This window comes from Homo sapiens, chromosome 3, assembly GCF_000001405.40.
Source record: "Homo sapiens chromosome 3, GRCh38.p14 Primary Assembly".
Classification (NCBI taxonomy): Eukaryota; Metazoa; Chordata; class Mammalia; order Primates; family Hominidae; genus Homo; species Homo sapiens.
The window spans coordinates 175,050,059-175,073,381 of NC_000003.12; the positions used below are offsets into that span (position 1 = coordinate 175,050,059).

The window sequence follows — 23,323 nt, forward strand, 5'->3', positions numbered from 1 at the left end:
TAATTGGTGTGTATAAATGGTCCCAGTCTAAGTAAGCATGGTTGTGTGTGTGTGAGTGTGCCCTGGGATGAAGTGGCATCCTGTCCAGTGGTGGTTTCCACCTTGTGACCCAACTGCCGGGATAGGCTCTGGCAACCCGTGATACTGAGCTGGAATAATTGGGTAAATAATTATCTTACTTGATTGAATAATCTTTATTATTTATTTATTTAATTATTTTTGAGACAGAGTTTCACTCTTGTTGCCCAGGCTGGAGTGCAGTGGCGTGATCTCAGCTCACTGCAGCCTCTGCCTCCTGGGTTCAAACAGTTCTCCTGCTCAGCCTCCCGAGTAGCTGGGATCACAGGGACGCACCACCACGTCTAGCTAATTTTTGAATTTTTAGTAGAGACAGGGTTTTGCCATGTTTAAAAATGCATTTAATGCTCACATTTATTTCAATGTTTAATATTAGAAGTGTTTTGGGTCTTCATTTCAAAGTTTGATGTTTTCTGACCAGAAATATACTGTGGGGCTATTGTTTTTATCAATTCACTCATGGGAAAACTGGTTTCATTATGCAGTTTTGCTTAAAGTCCCAGTTTCTGAAACCCTATTGATGATGTTAGTTGAGGAATTACCATACTATAAAGGTAAAGTTTTTCTAAATGTAACAGATTAAGGTTATAGAAATAGTATCAATTTAGGTGAAATGAATTAATATTACCATTATATTTTATTATGACCACATCTAATTGAGAGTGTTATCTTCAGTTATGAGTGCACATAAGAGTTAATGTAGCTTCAAAACTATGTCAGCAGGATGTGAGTTGTGTTGACAAAATGTCATGTATCGATAAGATGAAAAAACTAGGGTTGTTTTACTTGAAGAATAAAAAAAATAATAGAGGCATAAGAGCTGCACACTTATTTGAAGAAGGAAATATACTTAGTATGGGTTAATAAAGCTAGCATTAGTGAGGAAGACAGATATTGGGTCAGTATAAAAGTATTTCTTAAGAACCAGGGATGTAAACTCCTCTTTCAGTTCAATAAGAAATGGCATAAAAAATTTACTGGGTCCTGTAGATTGAGGATGGGAAATTTTCATAGATGATGTGTATGGTCCCATCCAACCTTAAGATTTGAAGATTCTTTTCATTTACACTTAGAGCCAAATATGGGTAATTCTTCCATAATGTATTAGTTTTCTATTGCTGCATAACAAATGAACACAAACTTAGTGGGTTAAACAATACCCATTTATTATGTCAGTTTCCATGGGTCAGGAGTCTAGGCATAGCTTTGAGGGGTCTCCTGTCCTGAAACCCAGGGTTTCACAAGGCAACATTCAAGTCTGGACAGGCTGCATTTCTCTCCAGAGCTCACAGACCTGTGGAGGTGGTTATTGGCAGGATTCAGTTTCTTGTGGTTATAGAACTGAGCCTCTCAGCTCCTAGAGGTCACAGGTAGTCCCCTGTTCCATAGCTTCTGCACTGGCAGTCAGTATCATAGCAACTTTCTTCTTCAAGGTCAGCAGAAGAGTCTCTCGATCAGTTAGCTAAGGCAGAGGTTTAGATAACATAATCTAACCATGGGCGCAACATCCTTTGTCATATTCTGTTATTTAGAAGCTAATTACACTTATGGAGAAGGGATTATACAAAGGTGTGGACTTTAGGAGGTGAAAATTCTTGGGAGTCACTGTAGGGTCTGGTTGTCACAAATGGTACTTGGGATTGAATTCTGAAGTACAGTGAAGGTAAAGCGTGACTGTGGCTTTCCCACGTCCATTTGGCTACAAAGCTTAATTAAGAACCAACTGAACACATAAAGAGGAAGCCTAACGAAAGCAGAAGAGGCATTTGCCGAGACCAGCTCGGCTGGGGAGACCCTCAACCAGTGGTGCTAGAGGAATTAAAGACACACACACAGGAATATAGAGGTGTGGAGTGGGAAGTCAGGGGTCTCGCAACCTTCAGAGCTGAGAGCTTCCAACAGAGATTTACCTATGTCTTTATTAACAGCAAGCCAGTGATAAGCATTGTTTCTATAGATTATAGATTAACTAGAAGTATTCCTTATGGGAAATAAAGGGATGGGTCTGGCTAGTTATCTGCAGCAGGAGCATGTCCTTAAGGCACAGATCACTCATGCTATTGTTTGTGGTTTAAGAACATCTTTCAGTGGTTTTCCGCCCTGAGTGGGCCAGGTGTTCCCTGCCCTCATTCCAGTAAACTCACAACCTTCCAGGTGGGTGTCATGGCCATCATGAACATGTCACAGTGCTGCAGAGATTTTATTTATGGCAAGTTTTGGGGCCAGTTTATGGCCAGATTTTGTGGGGGGGCCTGTTTCCCAACATGTTCTCCTTCTTTGATTTGCAAAGTGATAAAAGCAAAGGCAGCTTTGTCATGGTGAGCTACTTCTTGGAGGAGTCAGGATCCACATCTGCAGACTATACAAAGACAAACAACACAGATTAAAATCACAATCATCATTGAAATCCCAGAGCTTCCAAGTGTTTTTATCCATTTTAATGGGTTACTAGCTGCTAATCTGTCTGCAGCCCCTTCAAGCACTCCAGTTCCTGGCATTAAGGTCAGGTGTACCTGGGATGTTTTAAATATTTGTTCTTTTAATATTTTGCAATATCCAAAAACAAGTTTGTAGAGTGTCCTTCTAGATACTTTTTTATTCTTTCCCAAATTTTGATCTTATTAAGAGCTGTTAATAGTTTCCACAAATCTTTAGGTTTAGCTCCTGTAAAGGGCCATATCATTTGAGGTTGAGGTGCCACTATACTGCCATGGTTCCAGATATAGGAACTCTTGCTGTATTTCTTGTCATTTCTACCATCTGACCATTTTGTTCAGACCAGCTTAACATAGTGTGGCCGTGGCATGCAAACCGAGAGGTGCAATTCAAGCTAAACATCCCCTTAGGGGACCAATCAATAATGATTCCATAGGAATTGTTGTGCAGCACCTCTGCCTGTTCTGCAATGTGATCTTCCTAAATAAGTACGTTCATTTTTTCTGAACAGGTTCAATTTTGTTTACAAATAGGTTTTTGAGGGCGGTATGCCTCAATTTTAGGAGCAGATTTATTATGGTAAGTACTGAGATCAGAAAGCATGTGTAACTATGTCATAGAGTGATTACATCCAGGCATTATTGCCAGCCAAGATTGATAAATATGCCCAATAAGTATAATTGTTCTCTGTGTCAGCCTTTGTTGTAGGAATACTCATGGCAATGGTGATCACCGCTATCATAGCTACCATTAAATTCCTCATTGTGAATTGTTGTCCCGCTTTCCTCAGGTTTTCTTCCGCCATCTGTGACAGCTTCTTGATCCTCCCCAGGTGGTTGGCTGTGTTCAATGGGTGTTGCTTGTGACAGTTGGGATCCTCCTCAGCATCAGCCTCAGCATGGCTGCAACCAGGGGGTCCTCGAGATCCTCCTGGAATGTCTGCCTCAGCATCTGGCTCATGATAAGGTTTCAGGTGTCTTGACAGTATCCAAATTGGCTGTTGATTCAGCCCTGGAGAAACACAAGCATAACCTCTGCCCCAAGTTATTATTTTACCTATTTCCTAACTTTCTGTTATACAAAGTGAGAAAAGGTGTCCACACATACATGTAACATGTGTGACATCCGTTTGCCAAAGAGAATTAGGTTCCAATCCTCGAGGATTAACTCCTCCCGTAAAACATGAGGAATGTACCATTTGGCAAGTTGGGCATCGCTGGATAATAGCTTAACTTCTTTCCAGGTAATGCTGTATCTGCATTTGAGACCAGAGGCATTAACATGGGTTAAATTGTGAAAATGTCTCGCATTAGATATTGCATTAGCAACTAGGCAATCAGCCATTTGATTCCCTTAAGTCAAAGTTCCTGGAAGAGGTGTATGAGCCCAAAGTGAGTGATGTAAAAAGGGTGCATTCTACTGCTAACTATTGTTTGCAATTTGGTAAATAAAGTCATCAGTTGTTCATCTGTATGAAATCGTAACTGAGCATTTTCAATTAACTGTGTGGAATGAACCACGTATGAAGAATCAGAACTCACATTCATAGGCATATTAAAAGCAGCCAATACCTCAATTACAGCTACAAGCTCCGCTTTTTGAGCTGAAGTATAGGGCATCTGGAAAACTTTACTTTTTAAGCCAGAATAAGAAGCTTTACTGTTGCTAGACCCATCTGTAAAACAATGAAAATGCTTAGCAGGCTTCAGGTTGTTTACCGCTGGAATTGTAAATGCAAACCATTCACAGTCTTGCTCATCTAAAGGGATAGTAAAGAAACAGTCTTTTAAATCTATGACTATTAAGGGCCAATTTTTTGGAATTATAGCAGGAGAAGGCAATCCTGGCTGTAATGCTCCCGTGGGTTGTATAACTGAATTGATAGCTCTTAAGTCAGTTAACATTCTCCATTTACCTCATTTTTTCTTAATTTCGAAAACTGGAAAATTCCAAGGGGAAAATGTTGGAGCTATGTGCTCATTTTCTAATTGTTCACTAACTAATCCTCTAAAGCCTACAGTTTCTCTTCACTTAGCAGCCATTGTTCTATCCAAATTGGCTTATCTGTTAACCATTTTAAAGGTATAGGTTCTGGATGCTTAACAATGGCCACTATCAAAAATGATATCTTAAACCTTGGTGGGAACTTTGTCTTTCCCCTTGAAGCGGTTCCTTCAAACCTTGCAAATTTTTTCCTAGTCCCCTAACAGGGACATACCCCATTTCATGCATCATATGTTGACTTTGAGGGCTGTATAACTGCTCTGGAATTATAACTTGTACTCCCCATTGTTGTAATAAATCTCCCTCATAAACTTATAGGTACAGAAGTTATAATTGGTTGAATAGTTCCAGGTTGTCCATCGGGCCCTTCACAATGCAAAATATGACTACTTTGATATACTTCGGGGGCTTTACCAACTCCAACTATGTTAAATTGAGCAGGTTGAATTGGCCACACGGATAGCCAGTGCTGTAGAGAAATGATTGAAATGTCCTCCTGTATCTACCAAACCCTTAAATTTCTTTCCCTGAATAGTTATTTCACAGGTAGGACATTTATCAGTAATTTGGTTCACCCAATAAGCTGCTTTTCCTTGTTTATTTGTGCTTCCAAATCCTCCTGTTCGTTTAATTTCACTTTTTCCCATTCTCGCATACGGCACAATCAGGAGCTGTGCTATACGCTCTCCTGGCCCTGCTTTCCAGGGAACAGAAGTAGATATAACAATTTGAATTTCCCCATTGTAATCTGAGTCAATGAATCCTGTGTGTATTTGTACCCCTTTCAAATTTAAACTAGACCTTCCTAGAAGTAATCATATCATTCCCTCTGGCAAGGGTCCACAGACTCCTGTTGGGACCTTTTGCAGGGGTTCCCCAGGCAGAAGGCTCACAGCTTTTGTACAGCATAAATCTACTGCAGCACTACTGGCTGTGGCAGGGGGCAGACATTGTACAGGGGTGAGGGAATGGCCTCAGTCGGAAATGCCCCAGTTTGGAATGGGGCCTGGGCCAGGCTCCTCATGGCGTTTCCCGAAATCGGGTTCCCATCTTTATCAAACTTAGAGTGACACTGATTAGCCCATTGTTTTCCTTTTTTACATTTTGGACATATTTCAGGCTCAGCGGTTTTCTATTTTCCCCTATCCGGTGGCCTGACTCGCTGAGTTTTTCTACATTCTTTTTTAGTACGACCATGCTTCCCACAGTTAAAACAAGCTCCAGGAAACAAAGTATTTCCTTTATCCACTCTCAGTCCTGCCATTGCCTGTGCCAACAAAGTAGCTTTATGCAGATTACCTCCAGTACCATCACAGGCCTTGATATAATCAACTAAATGTGCTTTCCTGAATTTAAAAGAAAAAGGACCAAATGTAGCTATAATATTTCCCTGTTGATCTGGGCGGTGTATTCTAACAGGGGACTGCCAAGCCTCTATATCACCCTCTTGTCTAGCTTGCTGAATTCCTGCCTGAATAGAACTGAGAGTGGTCGCCAAAGGTGCTGCTCGAATAGTCACTGAGGCAACTACTTTTTGCCCAGTGTCCTCCGGAAAAGAAAGATCTGGAGGGTCCGGCCGCTCTTTTTCTTCAAAATAATAATGAGGGGGTACAGAAGGGTAGGGATGAACCTCTCCCTCCTTTGCCACTTTAGCATTAGCTGGCAAACAAACCTGCTCTGTAACCTCTTCTGTTACTTGGTTATACTCTCCTTCCTTCTTATCATTAGTGTGAAAAGTTTCCAAAGTGGAATGAACCAGAGCCCACACTTGTCCCATTGTTACCCTGATGCTTCTGAGCTCCCCTTCTTACTCACCATGGGAATTGCTTTAAGAGTACTCAGGTGTCCTACAGCTTAGTTTTCCACATTCTCCAACCATCTCTCCGGTGACCCTTCAACCTGGATTCGAGCCCCCACGTATGGGTGCCACTTGCCAAGACAAGGTGGGTCAGGGAGATCCTCACCCAGCAGTGCTAGAGGAATTAAAGACATACACACAGAAATATAGAGGTGTGGAGTGGGAAATCAGGGGTCTTATAGCCTTCAGAGCTTAGAGCTTCCAACAGAGATTTACCTATGTATTTATTAACAGCAAGCCAGTGATAAGCATTGTTTCTATAGATTATAGATTAACTAAAAGTATTCCTTATGCGAAATAAAGAGATGGGCCGAAATAAAGGGATGGGTCTGGCTAGTTATCTGCAGCAGGAGCATATCCTTAAGGCACAGATCACTCATGCTATTGTTTGTGGTTTAAGAAAACCCGTAAGCAGTTTTCCACCCTGGGTGGGCCAGGTGTTCCTTGCCCTCATTCCGGTAAACCCACAACCTTCCAATGTGGGCATCATGGCCATCATGTACATGTCACAGTGCTTCAGAGATTTTGTTTATGGCCAGTTTTGGGGCCAGTTTATGGCCAGATTTGGGAGGCCTGTTCCCAACAGCATTTTCATTTCTAATTGTAGATAATGTAAGTTGCTTTCACATTGACTACTTTGAAATAGGGAGGACACGACTTGAAGGTCACAGGAGACTGTTTCTTGGCAAGATGTTACTCATTCAATAATAACTGAATTAAGAGGGAGCTCTCATAGTCTAGATTCTATCTATAAGGGAAAAAATAGACAGAAAAATAATAAATACCAACTACGAACATGGTAGGGCTTTAATCACGTTACCATTTTTTTCAGTCACGATCAACCTGACAAACGTGCCTGAAATAACCATTCAGTTTACCCAGACACAACAGAGTGGTGTCCATTTGAAAAGCCAAAGCAATTCTTGATGTATTCTTAGAGCTCAAGATAAATAGATGTGCTACTACTTTTCTACCCTCACCCCGGTTGCCATATCTCCAAATATCTTCATCATGGACCTAGCATCTTAGAAAGTTACAGTGATGTAGGAGACTTTTTGTATTTTCCTCAACTTCCTTCACTACTCTTACCCTGTTGACAGTTTATAAGCCCTGCACCATCTGGGGAACAGACTGTTGGCTGCCAAGTAGACTCATTAACATTCCCCTCCAGGAACTCTTGCTGTTTAATTAGGCTGTCAGCTGGATTCAAGCAGTGAGAGCCTTAGGTGGCTGTGTAACAAATCCATGACTCCATGCATTCAGATGTCAAGGTCACTAAGATTCCTGCTTATACTCATATGAGAAAAGGAATCCAGATCGTTGGCTGTTAAAATCCAAGTTATCAATGACTTCAATGTAAACGGGACTTTCCATAGTTAATTGAGACACTAAGTTATCCCCCTAAATTCACAGCTGTCACTACTACATTGTTTGAGAATCCTCTAACCCCTAGGCCATCATGTCTGGCATTCATGCTAACTTTCTTGTCAGAGCTAGTCAATAGAGTTTGTAGAGTTCATTCCAAACCCATACTGAAATTACTCTATGTACCATAATTAAATGCATCCAATTAATTAAGTTCTCTGAGAACAGATTACTAATAGTGTTAGCACTCTAGACATATTTGATTTAAATAGAACAGTGATTTTTTTTCAATGACAATTTGGTAAACTTCTATTACGAGAAAAATGCTTCTCAACTGAATGGTTTGGTTACTGTTGTGTAAACAATTTTCTAACCATTGTTAGTTTGAAGGAAAGGGAAAAACTTCTTTAGGCACAATGTGGAAACCTGGAGTTTTCTAAATCCAGAGAGAGAACAATCACCCATAGCTGTCAATCAATTCTAGTAACTTTTGGTTGATTAAGTATTCATCTATCTACTGATTAAGTCATTTAATTTATTAATTTGTCAAATATTTATTGGTTATTCACACATAGCTAGGCCCTGGGCTCGGTGCTATTAATATATTAGTAACTCAGTATAGGCACTGAACAAGTCTCTATTTTACTGAGGGAGGCAGTTATTCATCTAAGAATCATGAAAACAAAATATAATCAAACAATAAGTAAACATACCTACATCCATGAGGTGTCATAATTGAGGGGCCAAATCTGCTGAAAATGGAGGAATGATAAGTCGGGGGGTGCATAATCAACACTTGGTGGAGGCAGGCAGAGAGAACCTTCTGAAAAGAGAAAAAGCACATGCAGACACTCTGTGTCTGTGGGAGCAAGACATCTGTATGAAAGCTCGTAAGCTCATTTTTAGAAAAGAGGTGGAATTACAATAAGTGAGGTCTAAGGAAAGGCTTTCTGAATCTACCCAGATTGTTAAACTATTTTCTCTACGGCAGCTAGAGTGTCACCTTTCAGCAGTATCCTTAACATTAAGACCTGTGCTGTTTTCTTCGGGCTGTCTAAACCTAATCCTGCCATTGGTGAAAAGAAAAAGTAGTGAATAGATTAGATGGCTCAGTTTTGCTTTTTCCTCCTACCTACTAGTCTTGACTGAAAAAGAATATGATGAATCTTTGTATAATCCTCATAGTGAATTTAGAAGGAGTTGTCAGGGACATTGCTTTATAATGGGTTTCTTCTGGTGGTGTATTGAAAATGCTTGGCCCAAGAAATATTGTTATTAACCTTTTTAAGTAAAATAATGACACTTCGTGTGAAGTCATTGCTTTTTAAAGCTATTTTACCTGTTGCTGTGTGTACGTATTTCTTCATTTTTTTCTTTAAACATCTTTTATTCATCTCTTTTTTCCCACAAGTTTTTCAAAGGAAGTGAAATATTCTGTTATCTCTAAATAATTATTGTTTTCTTGCTGCTTACAGATGTCAATAGGAGACTTTGAGCTGTGTTTATTTATTTTTTTTTCAAGTTTTAATTTTAAGTGCAATGATCTGGGGTGAATTTTCGGTCTTATGGAAAGCAGCCATATCCATCGACTACACAGAATCCTCAAAAGCAGTGACCTGCTCCGCCAGTGTATCTGCTCCAACTTTATCATCTTCAGTTACACACTGGATTTGAAGTTTTTAAATTACATATTCCATCAGAACTAGTTTAGAGGAGCCCTAGACTAAGCCGTCTGCTTGAATGCTTCTAACACATTCCTCTAGTTTTGCCATATCTGCCACATCATCCCACGGTTTCACATCAGTATGATGGAAAATGGCAACAAGTGCATGTTTTTTGGCTTTCTTTGATTCATTCTGGGCAAGCCATTCTTCCATTAACCTCTTTGCTGCTTCACCTTCCTCCTCCTTATCAGATCCAAGGAGATCAATGTCATCATCATCTTTACTATTTGCAGCTCTGCTTCCTGTAGTGTCTTCTACATTAGCAGCACCGTATTTGCCCAAAGGTTTCTTCACTCCTGGAAGGCTGGCCTTTTCTTTTCATGAGAATTGATGTGACTTTACCAACATAGGGCAAGACACGAGTTCACAGGCAATGGGCCAGAGACTGCTTCAAATACTGCCACATCTGCTTGTGGTGGCACATAACCTTCGATGTAGCTCTTGTCTGCCAGGTAATCATTGAGCACATGGAGGCCAGCAGGGCTTTTCAGGTCTCTGAAACCCATGGTGTCAGCTGTATTTGAGAGCTGGGTAGCAGCAAAATGAAAGAGTGTAAATTGTGGGCACCCCTGCTAAGAGAGGGAAAAAAAGCTAGTTTTGGTTTGTTAAAACCCGAAGACACACAGAAAGAAAACAAACCCCAACTGTATTTAGCAAGCTGTCACAGCCTGTCTTTTCAAGAGAAAGATGAAAGTGCTCATAGGCTGCCAGGGAAATCATACTTGGATTTCAATATATTAAAGTCCCCTTCCTATTTCACTTATAAACATATCTGTGGAGAAAGAAAGGAAGAAAAGTTCGTAAATACAAATAGAATTTCATCCACATGTTCCAAAATTGCGGTGATATGATTTCTGTTTTATAGACTTCACTTATAAGAAAGGTTACAGAGTGTGAGCAATCTGTCAAATATCCCACAAATGGCAAGTGCTACATTTGACGGATAGGCATTGTTTTAAATATTTTCAATTAATGCTTTTGCTCTGGATAGTTCTTTAAAATTAATCTCAATTGTATGAATAGTATGTTGTGTTTAATTATTAACATTGAACATTGTTAATATTTATACAAGTAACTTTACAAATATAACTCAAAATGATCTTTACTATCTGGGCATTAAAGCCAATAGCCGTACTATATTAGCTATTTCACTGTGTTAGCTACAGGGTATACATAGTAGGACAATATCTGGGACTCAGTGTGGACCACAAGCTGACTGTGAGTTTATAAAGAAATTCTTCATTCTGAGTGCCGTGGCTCATGCCTGTAATCCCAGCACTTTGGGAGGCCGAGGTGAGTGGATCACCTGAGGTTGGGAGTTTGAGACCAGCCTGATCAACATGGAGAAATCCCATCTCTACTAAAAATACAAAATTAGCCAGGCATGGTGGCACATGCGGTAATCCCAGCTATTTGGGAGGCTGAGGCAGGAGAATGGCTTGAACCCGGGAGGTGGAGGTTGCAGTGAGCTGAGATCGTGCCATTGCACCTCAGCCTGGGCAACAAGAGCGAAACTCCGTCTCAAAAAAACAAAAAAAATCCTTCAGAGAAGCATAATGTATTTGTAATTTTATAAATACATAGTCATGCAGTCATCCATTTTTCTTTTCTTAAAAAAATTGGAATATGAGATATTTAAGAAAAGAGTAGAAGAGGGCAACAACCTCATTAAAATGCCAGACAATATTACCAATGAGAAAAGCCTAAATAAATTGGAATTAGTTCATGTGCAGATGAAAAAGCTAATGGTCTTTCATAAGTCAATAATGATTTTAAGCAGCAAGGAAAGCATTTTATAAGCAGAATTATGATCAGCTGGTTTTATTATTCAGTGAAAATAAAGTATGAGAAAATAAATCTACACTGGAATTTTATATGAAAATATTCTGTTACATCTGTTGCTGTTACATGTGCTGGATGTTTTCCTGTTTAAAGTCTTCATCCATAGACATTTCAAATGCACAACTTCATAGTCTTCTGCTAGGGCTGGCTAAAGTGATGGCAAAAGAAACCAAGTACTCTAGATTGTTCCATGGATGGGGAGGGAGAAAGTAAGTGGAAAGAAGGATATAGCAGTGTCCAAATTTGAATCAAAAATATCTAAATTTCCTCAGTCTTAGGAAACATAGATTATTTCTCTTCCATTCATTTTCCAAATATAAGGAATAAAATCAGTTATTTAGTTTCACCTGCTCACTTGCACAAATATATATATATATATATATATATAGTTTTATACACCACAAAATTATATATTGTAGTAAATCCATGAGCTTATGCCTATGTAATTTTGCCTGTATTAGCCATTCTAAGTTGTACTAAGGAAAGTCTTGCATTAAAGGAGATACATAGATGCACTTGGGTAAATATAGAAGTCTTCAACTGGATTCAAACAGATGGGACTTAACCACAACTGGAACTCATACATTATGGTAGCAGAAAAGCTGGATCACAGGTGCAAGGGAAGCCCAGAAGTTTCTTGGTAAGTTTAAGAAAGAAAAGGGGGAAAGGAGTCTTTATTTTCTTTTATTTAACATGAACAAAACCCATTTAATTACTGTCAGAACAGTGGAAAGAGATGGTGTTAACTTTGAATGAAGAGAGGATAAATGTCTACTGCTTTGAATCTTTTCTAATTTAGCATTACTATTTGGGTGAGGTAATAGAGACAGCAACTTAATCTTGAAGGAAAACTGCAGGAGCTTGTTTTGGTTAAACAATGTACTTTTGCCATCCTGACAGGATTATTGATAGAGAAAGAAACTCAAGGTCACAGGCCTTGATATTTTGCTCATTCTATGGCAATCTTATTTTTTGGAGATTGTTGGCTCAGCTAGTTCTTTGCTAGATGCTGGGAAGATAAATTTGAACTTGGGCTTGTGACACCACTTAACTTGTAATAATGATTGTTATCAGTGCCTCTCCATCCTGTTTGTAGGGCTGGAAGTTTGGCTGTGTGTGTGTGTGTGTGTGTGTGTGTGTGTGTGTGTGTGTGTGTGTGTTTCCAACTGTGAATGACATTTGAAATGCCCAGCTATTTCTTCCAAAGTGGTGGTTGGGAATTACTACTATCATAGAACTATAAATGCTCTTACATTATTTAGGGCAAGGAAATGCTATTGATCCATTTGTCTCTATAACGGGGCTAATTTTTTCATTTGATTTTATAAACTTAATCTTAACCAATCACTTAGCAAGAACTATTTAACTATCATATGTATGTTTTAATCTGTTTCGGTTTGTGTAAACCCAAAGACATGCAGAAAGAAAACAAACCCTAATTGTATTTAGCAAGCACTCACAGACTCTCTTTTCAAGAGAAAGATGAAAGTGCTCATAGGCTGCAAGGGAAATCATACTTGGATTTCAATATATTAAACTCCCCTTCCTATTTCACTTATAAATATATCTCTGGAGAAAGAACCAAAGAAACTTTGGTTTATTTACTAAATAAATTTTTTACTTGTAAACTCTGTGATAATAATGTATTTCATACTTAACATATTTTTTTCTACATATATTTTTATAAAATGGAGCTGGCTATGTTTTTTGTTGGTGAAAACAATGTAAGTATACAGTTTTGAGAAAGTCAACTAGTAGGTAAAAGTTCAGGAAAAGGAGACAAAATAATTATAATGCAAAGGTGAACAGTCTGTTTACCTTTAAGTGACAGCTGAATTATTGCAGTGTCACAGAGTAACTTGGCAGGATTTAGGATTATGAAAACATTTTTATCGCTTGTTAGTTAAATAGTATTTAAAAATTAAACAATTGATTTGATAAATATGTATGTAGTTGCTTAATATAGGTAATTTTTAAGCATTATTTTAAACTGCTAAAAAGCTTGAGGAACAAATCCTTCGAAACATAGACTGGTCCAGGTGCAATGGTTCATGCCTGTAATCTCAGCACTTTAGGAGGCAGAGTAAAATATATATAAACAGCCTGTTTATATATATTTTACTGCTTTTGAGACAGGGTCTTGTTCTGTCACCCAGCCTGGAATGCAGTCTTGTCATCACAGCTCACTGCAGCCTCCACCTTCTGAGCCCAAGCAGTCCTCTTGCCTTAGCCTCCCCAGTAGTTGAGGCCACAGGAATGTGCCACTATGTCCCCACTAATTTTTTTACTTCTATTTTTTATAGAGATGGATCTCCCTACATTGCCCAGGCTAGTCTCAAACTCTTAGGCTAAACCAATGCTCCTGCCTCTGCCTCCTAAAGTGCTGAGATTACAGGCATGAACCATTGCACCCGGCCCAGTCTGTTTTTGGAAGGATTTGTTCCTCAAGCTTTTTAGCAGTTTAAAATAACGCTTAAAAATTATCTATATTAGGCAACTACATCCGTATTTGTCAAATCAGTTGTTTAATTTTTAAATGCTATTTAACTAATAAGTGATACAAATGTTTTCATAATCCTAAATCCTGCTGAGTTACTCTGTGACACTGCAATAATTCAGCTGTCACTTAATAGTCAAAATTCTGTGATGGGTAAAACAATGTGAAGTTCAGAAATCCTGTATACCCAGGAACCAGGTTCATCCCAGGAATTTATTCCAGTTCTCTTCAACCTGTCGTTGTCTAGATCTTATATAGACTCTCTTTGGAGGCAGCAATCAAAAGCAAATCAGTTTATGGAGTTGGATTGTGAAGATGGTGGTATTGTTGGTGTTAGGATAGAGATTTGCCATGAAGAAAATAGTTTACTCTTGGGGAAAAGAAGAAAAAAAAAAAAAGAAAAACGACAACAAAACCACCAAGACAACAGGTTCAAACAATGTAGTTTCTTAAGAAATCAAGTGATGATGCTCACTTCTCTAAGTTCCAAGTCCAGGATATGTTACTTATTTGGGATTGTATCAGTGAGGAAACAGATCATATACTCAAGCTGAGTAAAGATGTAGGCAATTTTAGGCAAAGTGCCTCAGGGCTGGCATCCAGGGCGCCTTAACTGCCCTCTCCCTAAAGGGCAGGGGGCAGATGAAACAGTCTGAAAGGAGAGTTAGGTAGAAGACATCACTGGAGTAGCCGTGGCCTTGAGTCAGGGACAGGGTCAACTTTCTGTGACTTATCAGGGAGGAAGCTTGGGAAACAAACACTCTGACCTCACTCTCCTCCTGACCAGTGATCTCCAACTCTTGGCCCTCATTGGCCAAATCCAACTAGCAGCCAGAGTGGAAGTGATCTTACTCATGTAGCTCATACTTGTTAGCTTCTCTGGGAACAAAGCAGCCTGAAGAAGGGTGGAGCTGATCTGGAGGGGCCAGTGAAAACTCTCTGCGTAGAAATCCTTCCCGGTGGAGCTGTTTGTAAAACTCCAACAAAATTGGCTTGGTTTTCATCAAAACTCCAACTAAACTGGCTTGGCTTTAAGTAGAAGGAAGCTTTTTTGTTACCTTAAGATATGATTAAATAATGCGTAGTTTGAAAAGTACTTCATCTAATCACTTATTGATTTAAAAATTCATTTTCGACAATTACATATATTAATAATATATCAGAGTAAAAAGTGAGAAAAAAAATTACAAGTCTTCTAACCAACATTTAAAAAGAAGGAATAGTCACTATGAAGGCAGCTAGGAGACCTGGAAATTCAAGTGACTTTGATGTCAGAGCTGAATTTGAATCCTGGGCGAGACATTACTATTGAGACCTTATGTAATTTACTTACCTGGGCACTGTGCTGCTTGATGGACCCACATTTAGGAGACGCTTAACAACCTAGTGCTTCTATTGTCGTCGGGACTCCCTTGCTGAAGTCTTACTATAAATCACTGGGAAAACAAATAATATTCATTTTAGTATGCTGCAGAGCTTTGTAATCTTGCTCTAAAACTGTTAATGCCTATTATTAGATTCTTTCAGAGTCAAAAAACAAAGTGAGCTGATTCTACATAGAATTTGCAAGGGGATAGTCTTTAAATTTTTAGATAGCTATGACCAGATTTAATGATCTTGTTGAACCATGTCAAAAGACATACAAGGTATAGTAATCCCAGTTTAAATGGAGGATGTCCTACCAGTCCCATCTCTGTCACCAGTGAAGAGAAGCAAGCCTGTGTAATTCAAGTCATTTTAGACACATTTATGTTTGAAACAAGGAATGTAAGAGCAGGTGTCACAATACAGTTTTCAACATATGGTAAGCTCTTCCACTGCAGCTGGCTGCAATCCTTGTCAAAGGTCATGGAGAAAAAAAAGAGAGTCAGAAGTCACTATGAGCTTTAAAAGCACATTCAGGAAACTGCACTGTTATAAACCGTGTTCACTGAACCCGAGAAAAACCTAGCCCTTTTATCAATAATGTAGAATGAATTGAAAGCTGATTCTGAATTTAGTTATGTAAGTTTCCATATAGCTGTGAGCAACAGAGATATAGAGAATTGAATCAAGAAGGTCAGAGACCCTCTCACATAACGGTATTCGGTCTTAATGTTGCCATCAAGCTCCAGATATGAGTGAAAGGATGTATAACGGGAACAGTGTAACCGAATGCACTTTGAGATTCAACCAGTTAGCCCCTTCAGTGTCTGTATTCACTGCACTGCAGAGAACAAGTGGAAATCCTGAAATGTAGCCACTCTGCAATCACTGAAACAGGGTGACTGTTCCACCACTCTCCAGAACTAGGTGTGTGAAAGGAGAGGTTGATGAGACAGATCCACATTTCAGGGAAAGACACGAGTTATAGTAACCACAAACAGAAAATGACATTGCACGTACTATGAGGACAGAAGTAGTTAGGTTACCTGTCACCTTCTCTGAGGAGCCTTTCCTAACCCTCCAAGCCTGGGTTAGGCAGCTTTCTTGAGTGCTCCTGGGCCTCCATATCACTATCATGTAGTGCTGTGTGTAGTTGCTTATCTAAATTGTACACCAAACCGGAAGTTCCATGAGGGCAGGGACTGTCTCTTCAGTGCTCTATCCAGCACCTTGCACTGAGACTGCCACAAAGTAGATGCTCAGTACCTGCTTTTTCAGCAGCAGAAACAACCAAAAGTGCTTGTAACTGGAAAAGAGGGAAAACCCTTGTGGCTGTTACACAACTGCTCTTTTACCCTGAATGGCTTATGGTGAGGTGGGATTGTTTCTTGGTTAGTTTGGATGCTTTTCCTGGAAGATATTGTTAATAAATTCTTGTTTAAAAAAAAGTCTTGCATTTAGAGTTTAATCTGACAGGAAGGAAGTGTATCCACTCTAGATTATCCTTGATCCTTGCCCCTATCAAAGACCTTGTCAGGCTTTTCAGTGTCTGGCTACAATAATCCAAAAACAGGTGAGATGTCGCTTGTGAACACACATGTAGGCAATCTAGTGTTTGCCCACAACAGAGACAACAGCTTTCCTGATACCCATGTTGTCATTTAACCAAGAATCAATAAATTAAAAGGAAATTTGGAGGCATCCTGTAAATCTTTGTAAATGTCAAGGCCTATCTAATTATTTCCCTTTGATTTTTAAAGTTAATTGCCTAAGCACTCAATACTGAATCCTCAGTTTGCTAAAAGAAGGTTGTGGATTCCTATTTTTGATCAAGATAGAAATATGCTGAGTTTTCTTACCTTGTAAAATGCTCTCTTAAAGATTTAAATGTAAGACCTCAAACTGTAAAAATCCTAGAAGAAAACATAGGAGACACCATTCTGGACGTGGGCCTTGGGAAAGAATTTATGACTAAGTTCTCAAAAGCGATTACAACAAAAACAAAAATTGACTAGTGGAACCTAATTAAACTGAAGAGCTTTGGCACCGCAAAAGAAGCTATCAGCAGAGTAATCAGGCAGCCTACAGAATGGGAGAATGTATTTGCAAACTATGCATCCAACCCAGGACTAATATCTAGATTTCATAAGAAACTTAAACAACTCAACAAGCAAACAACAACAACAGACATTAAAAGGTGGGCAAAGGACACAGACACTTCTCAAAACAAGACATATCAGCGGCCAACAGACGTATGAAAACAATGCTCAACATCACTGATTATCAGAGAAATGTAAAATAAAACCACAATAAGATACCATCTCACACTAGTCAGAATGGTTATTGTTAAAAAGACAAAAAATAACAGATGCTGCAGGGCTGCAGAGAAAAAGGAATGCTTATACACTGTTGGTGGGAATGTAAATTAGCTTAGTTACTGTGGAAAGCAGTCTGGAGATGCCTCAAAGAACTAAAAGCAGAACTACCGTTTGACCCAGCAATCCCTACTAGGTATATATCCAAAAGAAAGTAATTTATTATACCAAAAAGACACAGCCACTTGTATGTTCATCACAGCACCATTCAAAATAGCAAAGACATGGAATCCACCCATGTGCCTATCAATGGTAGATAGGATAAAGAAAATGTGGTATATATACACCATGAAATACAATGCAGCTAAAAAAAGAATGAAATGAAGTCTTTGAAACAACATGAATGGAGCTGGAGGTCATAATCCTAAGTGAATTAATGTAGGAATAGAAAACCATATACCACATGTTCTCATTTGTAGGTGGGAGCTAAACATTGCGTACTCCTGGAAATAAAGATGGGAATGAGAGACTCTAGGAACTATTACAGTCGGGGGAAAGGAAGGTGGGGCAAAGGCTGAAAAACTACCTTTTGGGTACTGTGTTCACTACCTGGATGTTGGGATCTTTTGAACCTGAAATCCTTAGCTTCATGCAATATGCCTATGTAACAAACCTGCACATGTACCCCTGAATCTAAAAGAAAAGTTGAGCTTGTAAAACAATAGAATAAAAAATTAGTTTTTACACTTCTTACTCCTCACAGGAATGGATGATTTTTAAAAGTTATAGATGGACATCATTTGAAATAATTTAAAAGTTATAGAAATAAAGGGTGATATGAGAGAAGAAATTTCAGAACTTTCTAAAGTATATGCATAATATTCAAAGACTCAAGAGAATTAAAAACAAAACAAAACATTGAATGTTGTGATAGACCACCTCAAAAGAAAGGCATTTGTGAAGATTTGGAGAGATAAGGAGATTCTTCCATTCAGTGTTGTCTCTCGCAAACTTGGGAGGACGTCTCTTGGGGTTCTCTGTGACTGAGGATGAGTGCAAAGTTTAACTTAGGTCTTGCTATCAAGTTCACTTGGGAATAAAGTGAAAAATTTAGCATCAAAGATAGCAAACTCTGGTAGTGAAAATGAAAATGAAAGCTTTTGAAGAAAATAGTCCTGGAGATAAGATTTATAATTTATTGGTTTGTAAACATTGGTCGAGTTATATTTTAACTCAATAAATAACCATCTGGGACGCAACATTTGCAATCAGAATACCTTTGAAAAAGTATGCACTTGGTATCTTCCATGGAAAACTCAATTGGGAGCATGGGTTCCTCTAAAATAGATCAACCATTAAGAAAATTGCCAGCAATTATATGTTGGTTAAATTCCCCATACGCCACTTATGTTTTAATTGTTTGGGGGAGGAGAGAGTTCCAAAAACTGTATTTTAACAAAAATTAATTCAAGATGGATTAAAGACTTAAACGTTAGACCTAAAACAATAAAAACCCTAGAAGAAAACCTAGGCATTACCATTCAGGACATAGGCATGGGCAAGGACTTCATGTCTCAAACACCAAAAGCAATGGCAACAAAAGCCAAAATTGACAAATGGGATCTAATTAAACTAAAGAGCTTCAGCACAGCAAAAGAAACTACCATCAGAGTGAACAGGCAACCTACAAAATGGGAGAAAATTTTCGCAACCTACTCATCTGACAAAGGGCTAATATCCAGAATCTACAATGAACTCAAACAAATTTACAAGAAAAAAACAAACAACCCCATCAAAAAGCGGGCAAAGGACATGAACAGACACTTCTCAAAAGAAGACATTTATGCAGCCAAAACACACATGAAAAAATGCTCACCATCACTGGCCATCAGAGAAATGCAAATCAAAAGCACAATGAGATACCATCTCACACCAGTTAGAATGGCAATCATTAAAAAGTCAGGAAACAACAGGTGCTGGAGAGGATGTGGAGAAATAGGAACACTTTTACAGTGTTGGTGGGACTGTAAACTAGTTCAACCATTGTGGAAGTCAGTGTGGCGATTCCTCAGGGATCTAGAACTAGAAATACCATTTGACCCAGCCATCCCATTACTGGGTATATACCCAAAGGACTATAAATCATACTGCTATAAAGACACATGCACACATATGTTTATTGTGGCACTATTCACAATAGCAAAGACTTGGAACCAACGCAAATGTCCAACAATGATAGACTGGATTAAGAAAATGTGGCACATATACACCATGGAATACTATGCAGCCATAAAAAATGATGAGTTCATGTCCTTTGTAGGGACATGGATGAAATTGGAAATCATCATTCTCAGTAAACTATCGCAAGAACAAAAAACCAAACACCGCATATTCTCACTCATAGGTGAGAATTGAACAATGAGAACACATGGACACAGGAAGGGGAACATCACACTCTGGGGACTGTTGTGGGGTAGGGGGAGGGGGGAGGGATAGCTTTAGGAGATATACCTAATGCTAAATGACGAGTTAATGGGTGCAGCACACCAGCATGGCACATGTATACATATGTAACTAACCTGCACATTGTGCACATGTACCCTAAAACTTAAAGTATAATAATAATAAACTAAAATAAAAATAAAAAATAAAAATAAAAATTACAATAAAAAATCTTAAATCTATCAGTTTTCAAAATATTGTCTTAGGCATTTTATGTAATTCTCTGCAAAAGTATAAATTTTTATTTTTAGGATTCGAACATAGAATTATTAGACCTTGTGGTGATTCGGTGAAATAAGGAATTGTAAAACACTATTAGGTTAGCTTTTATTGCATATAATGAGAATCTCCTAGATGATGTAGAAATCATTAAAACTTAATTGTATAACTGCTGGACTTGTCTCAAAGTGTCTTGAACTGATAAGCCTTCCTAATCTTCTAGTGTTGCTTCAGCTCATTGATGAAGTAAAGTGGCTGGCTTTTAAAAATTGATAACCTTATTATAATTACTAAAGTGTAGCACATTCTGTTTGCCTAAGGTGTTTGAATGAGTCACTACCTATCAAAGGAAAATTATGCTATGGTATAGGGAATCCCAACATGTCAAATATGCAGATACTTTTTAATAGACTTATATTATTTCAGTTGACTTTTTAATGTTTGTTGATTGAGAAAGCATGGTGAATTACTTTGAATGAATTGCTTTGGATGAATTTAGTACCATATTAAAGTAAATACATATTTATTAATCCATCACTAATATTTATTTGAAAAATAAAAGTACATAGTAAATATATTAATAGTATAACATATATTTTGTATGTGAGTGAATAATTTTTGCAGTAACTGTGCTTTCCTATGTTTGTGAATTTGTTGACCTATTGCTCTAGACCCTTTTTAAGACATACGATCTCAGTGTTATAAAATAGATGTCATTCAAGATGTTCTATTAGTAGGTTGAAGATGTGTCTAAGAACAGTGACCTTCCTGTGCTGAGGACTTAGCTGGCTTCTCTTGATGTTACAACAGTGCTAGGAGGAAGCCAGTTAGGTCCCTTGAGTGCCAGTTAGTGCACTGCAGGGGCAAGCACAAACACTGACTCACTTTCTAGGTAAGTGCAAGTGTCTCCTAAAGTTCTCAGTCAATAAATAACACATGCCAATTAATGCCACAAAGCGTGTCTGACTTGTTTTGGTGTAAAGAATGTTTTTCAGCTCTGTTTTTATTTCTGACTATGCTAAGATATTTTAAATATGTGCTATTATAGGTCATGTATTCCTTTACACGAATTTTTGGAAACATAACCTTATCATTGGATTTTCAAAGGCTACTTTACAAAGTTGTCTCCATTTGCTTCTATTAAATTATAAGTTAATATGGAAGTCATTCTTTTCTCTTTTTGTTATGTCAGTTGTGTGCATACAGTTTTTCATATATTTATATATTCACACATATTACCCTTACATACCTCTGGGAGAGTATAACACATTTGTAACACTCCTGTATAAAATATTATATTTAAACATGTTATCTCATGCTGAACATGCTTGATAAGTTTAGTGTGTGAGATTGTGTACCGTCCCCAATTAATTGGTTGTATCAGTTGACTGGGGAATGTTATTGGGCCAAATGGACACAGCCACCAATGCCTGGTATCAAAACAGCTTAGGGTATTTGTTGGAAGGAAATGATATTGCAAAGCATTTGAAGAAAAATGAGAGAAGCAGAAACAAAGGATATTAAAAAAATTGTAGCAAATTTGAGCAATGAAAAACATGAAAAGAGATGAAATAACTAGTTATTTAATTCCCCAGTGACTTCTTAAGTCTGGTCCTCACCAGAGTTTCAGTATTAACTCTCTGGTATTTTTTTCATATCAACTGCTGTTTTTAACTATATGATGTGGCAGTCATATATTCTGTCTTTTCTAGGATTGTTTCCACTTCACATATTCTTTTTTCCCTATAAGCATATTTGAACTTGTCGGAATATATGTACATTTTGTGGTTCAGAAAATATGGTCACAGTGTAAAACCCACAACATCAAAATAAGCTCTAGAGTTTGCCATGGAGTCTTTACATTAGTTGCCATTCAGGACTGTTGAAAGAGTTCTACAAGCTTTACACAAAAAAGGACAGGCTAGTGTTGTGATTAGGAACTGGGGAGTCATGTATCCTGAATTCACATGTTTATCCTGCCATAGGCAAGTGACCTAACCTTTCAAAATCTTAGTTTCTTTATCTGAAAATGGGGATCATTAAATAACCACTTTCAAAAGGTTTTATTTAGATTTAAAGTCATGATGTAAATTCTTAATAAATGCTAGTTGTTATTTTTATAGTTATCTTTTTAAAATTAGACATCAAATATTTGAATATGAACATTTGAGGACATGCAAAATTATCTAGCTATGTCTAAAATGAAAAGAGTCATCTTTAAAAACGTTTGGCAAGAATTTTATTCCCTCTCTTGATTCTATATCATTGTATGAGTTACCTCTGCAACTTAAAATGGAGGGTGGCTTATCCATCTTGAACAGACATTACTACTAGACTTCTCATTGTTACATGTATCATTAGGAGATGTCCAATTGCTTTTCTTTCTACTGAGTATAACTATATCCTAGGTTAATTATTGAAAAACGGGGTGGGGGGAGGGGGGAGGGATAGCATTAGGAGATATACCTAATGCTAAATGACGAGTTAATGGGTGCAGCACACCAACATGGCACATGTATACATATGTAACAAACCTGCACATTGTGCACATGTACCCTAAAACTTAAAGTATAGCAATAAAAGAAAAAAAACGAAAAATGGAAAAGTTAATAAATATTTAAAGAGGCAAAAAAGTCACTCTGCTTTTTTATAAATGATTGCAATGAAAATTTATATGCATGCAATTTTGTTTTATTTTCTTTTAATTTCTTAGGCTAGATTTTAGAAATGAACTATAAATATAGACATTTCAAGAACTTTGGTATGTCTTCCTAAAGTGTTGTGCCCATTCATACTGTTTAGAGTGTGCCAGCCTTGCCACAAATCTGTTGGCACTCAGTGATGTTTTAAAATATCATTAAATAATTTTTAGGCCAAATGTATAAATTGAATACCACAATTGCCTTCTCTCCTCAGTTACTAATGAGACATTGTTTGATTAGTGATTTTTTGTAATGCTAATATCAGATTTGTTTGTTTTATATCTGAAAGGGTTAAACAGGATCAAAGTTTATATTGTTTGCTGTTAGAGTTGCCTTGAAAAAATTTTATTTGGCCCTCTAACAAAGAAGTGATTGCAAAAGTGGTGATCTTACAACTTTGAGATCAGTTGTGGCAA

The 23,323-nt window shown here is 37.9% G+C and overlaps 1 protein-coding gene, 1 long non-coding RNA gene and 1 pseudogene across 22 annotated transcripts in view, besides 1 other annotated feature; 1 reads left to right on the forward strand and 2 right to left on the reverse strand.

The window, feature by feature from the left end:
- NAALADL2 (N-acetylated alpha-linked acidic dipeptidase like 2) overlaps positions 1-23,323 on the forward strand; it is a 1,369,567-nt gene that overhangs the window by 609,077 nt on the left and 737,167 nt on the right. The window lies entirely within an intron of this gene.
- Positions 1,912-2,706: an enhancer, noted in NCBI's record as "OCT4-NANOG hESC enhancer chr3:174769760-174770554 (GRCh37/hg19 assembly coordinates)". NCBI's record gives its function as "activates a minimal SCP1, AML or CMV promoter by ChIP-STARR-seq in naive and primed H9 embryonic stem cells {active_cell/tissue: H9 hESC(naive and primed)}" and the evidence as "EXISTENCE:reporter gene assay evidence [ECO:0000049][PMID:30033119]".
- Positions 6,274-9,122, reverse strand: LOC124906305 (uncharacterized). Its single transcript, XR_007096173.1, has 3 exons — positions 9,081-9,122; positions 8,455-8,564; positions 6,274-6,491 (listed from the first exon to the last, which is right to left on the reverse strand). It is a non-coding gene; the product is annotated as an uncharacterized LOC124906305 (long non-coding RNA).
- On the reverse strand, positions 9,257-10,052 carry EEF1B2P8 (eukaryotic translation elongation factor 1 beta 2 pseudogene 8; annotated as a pseudogene).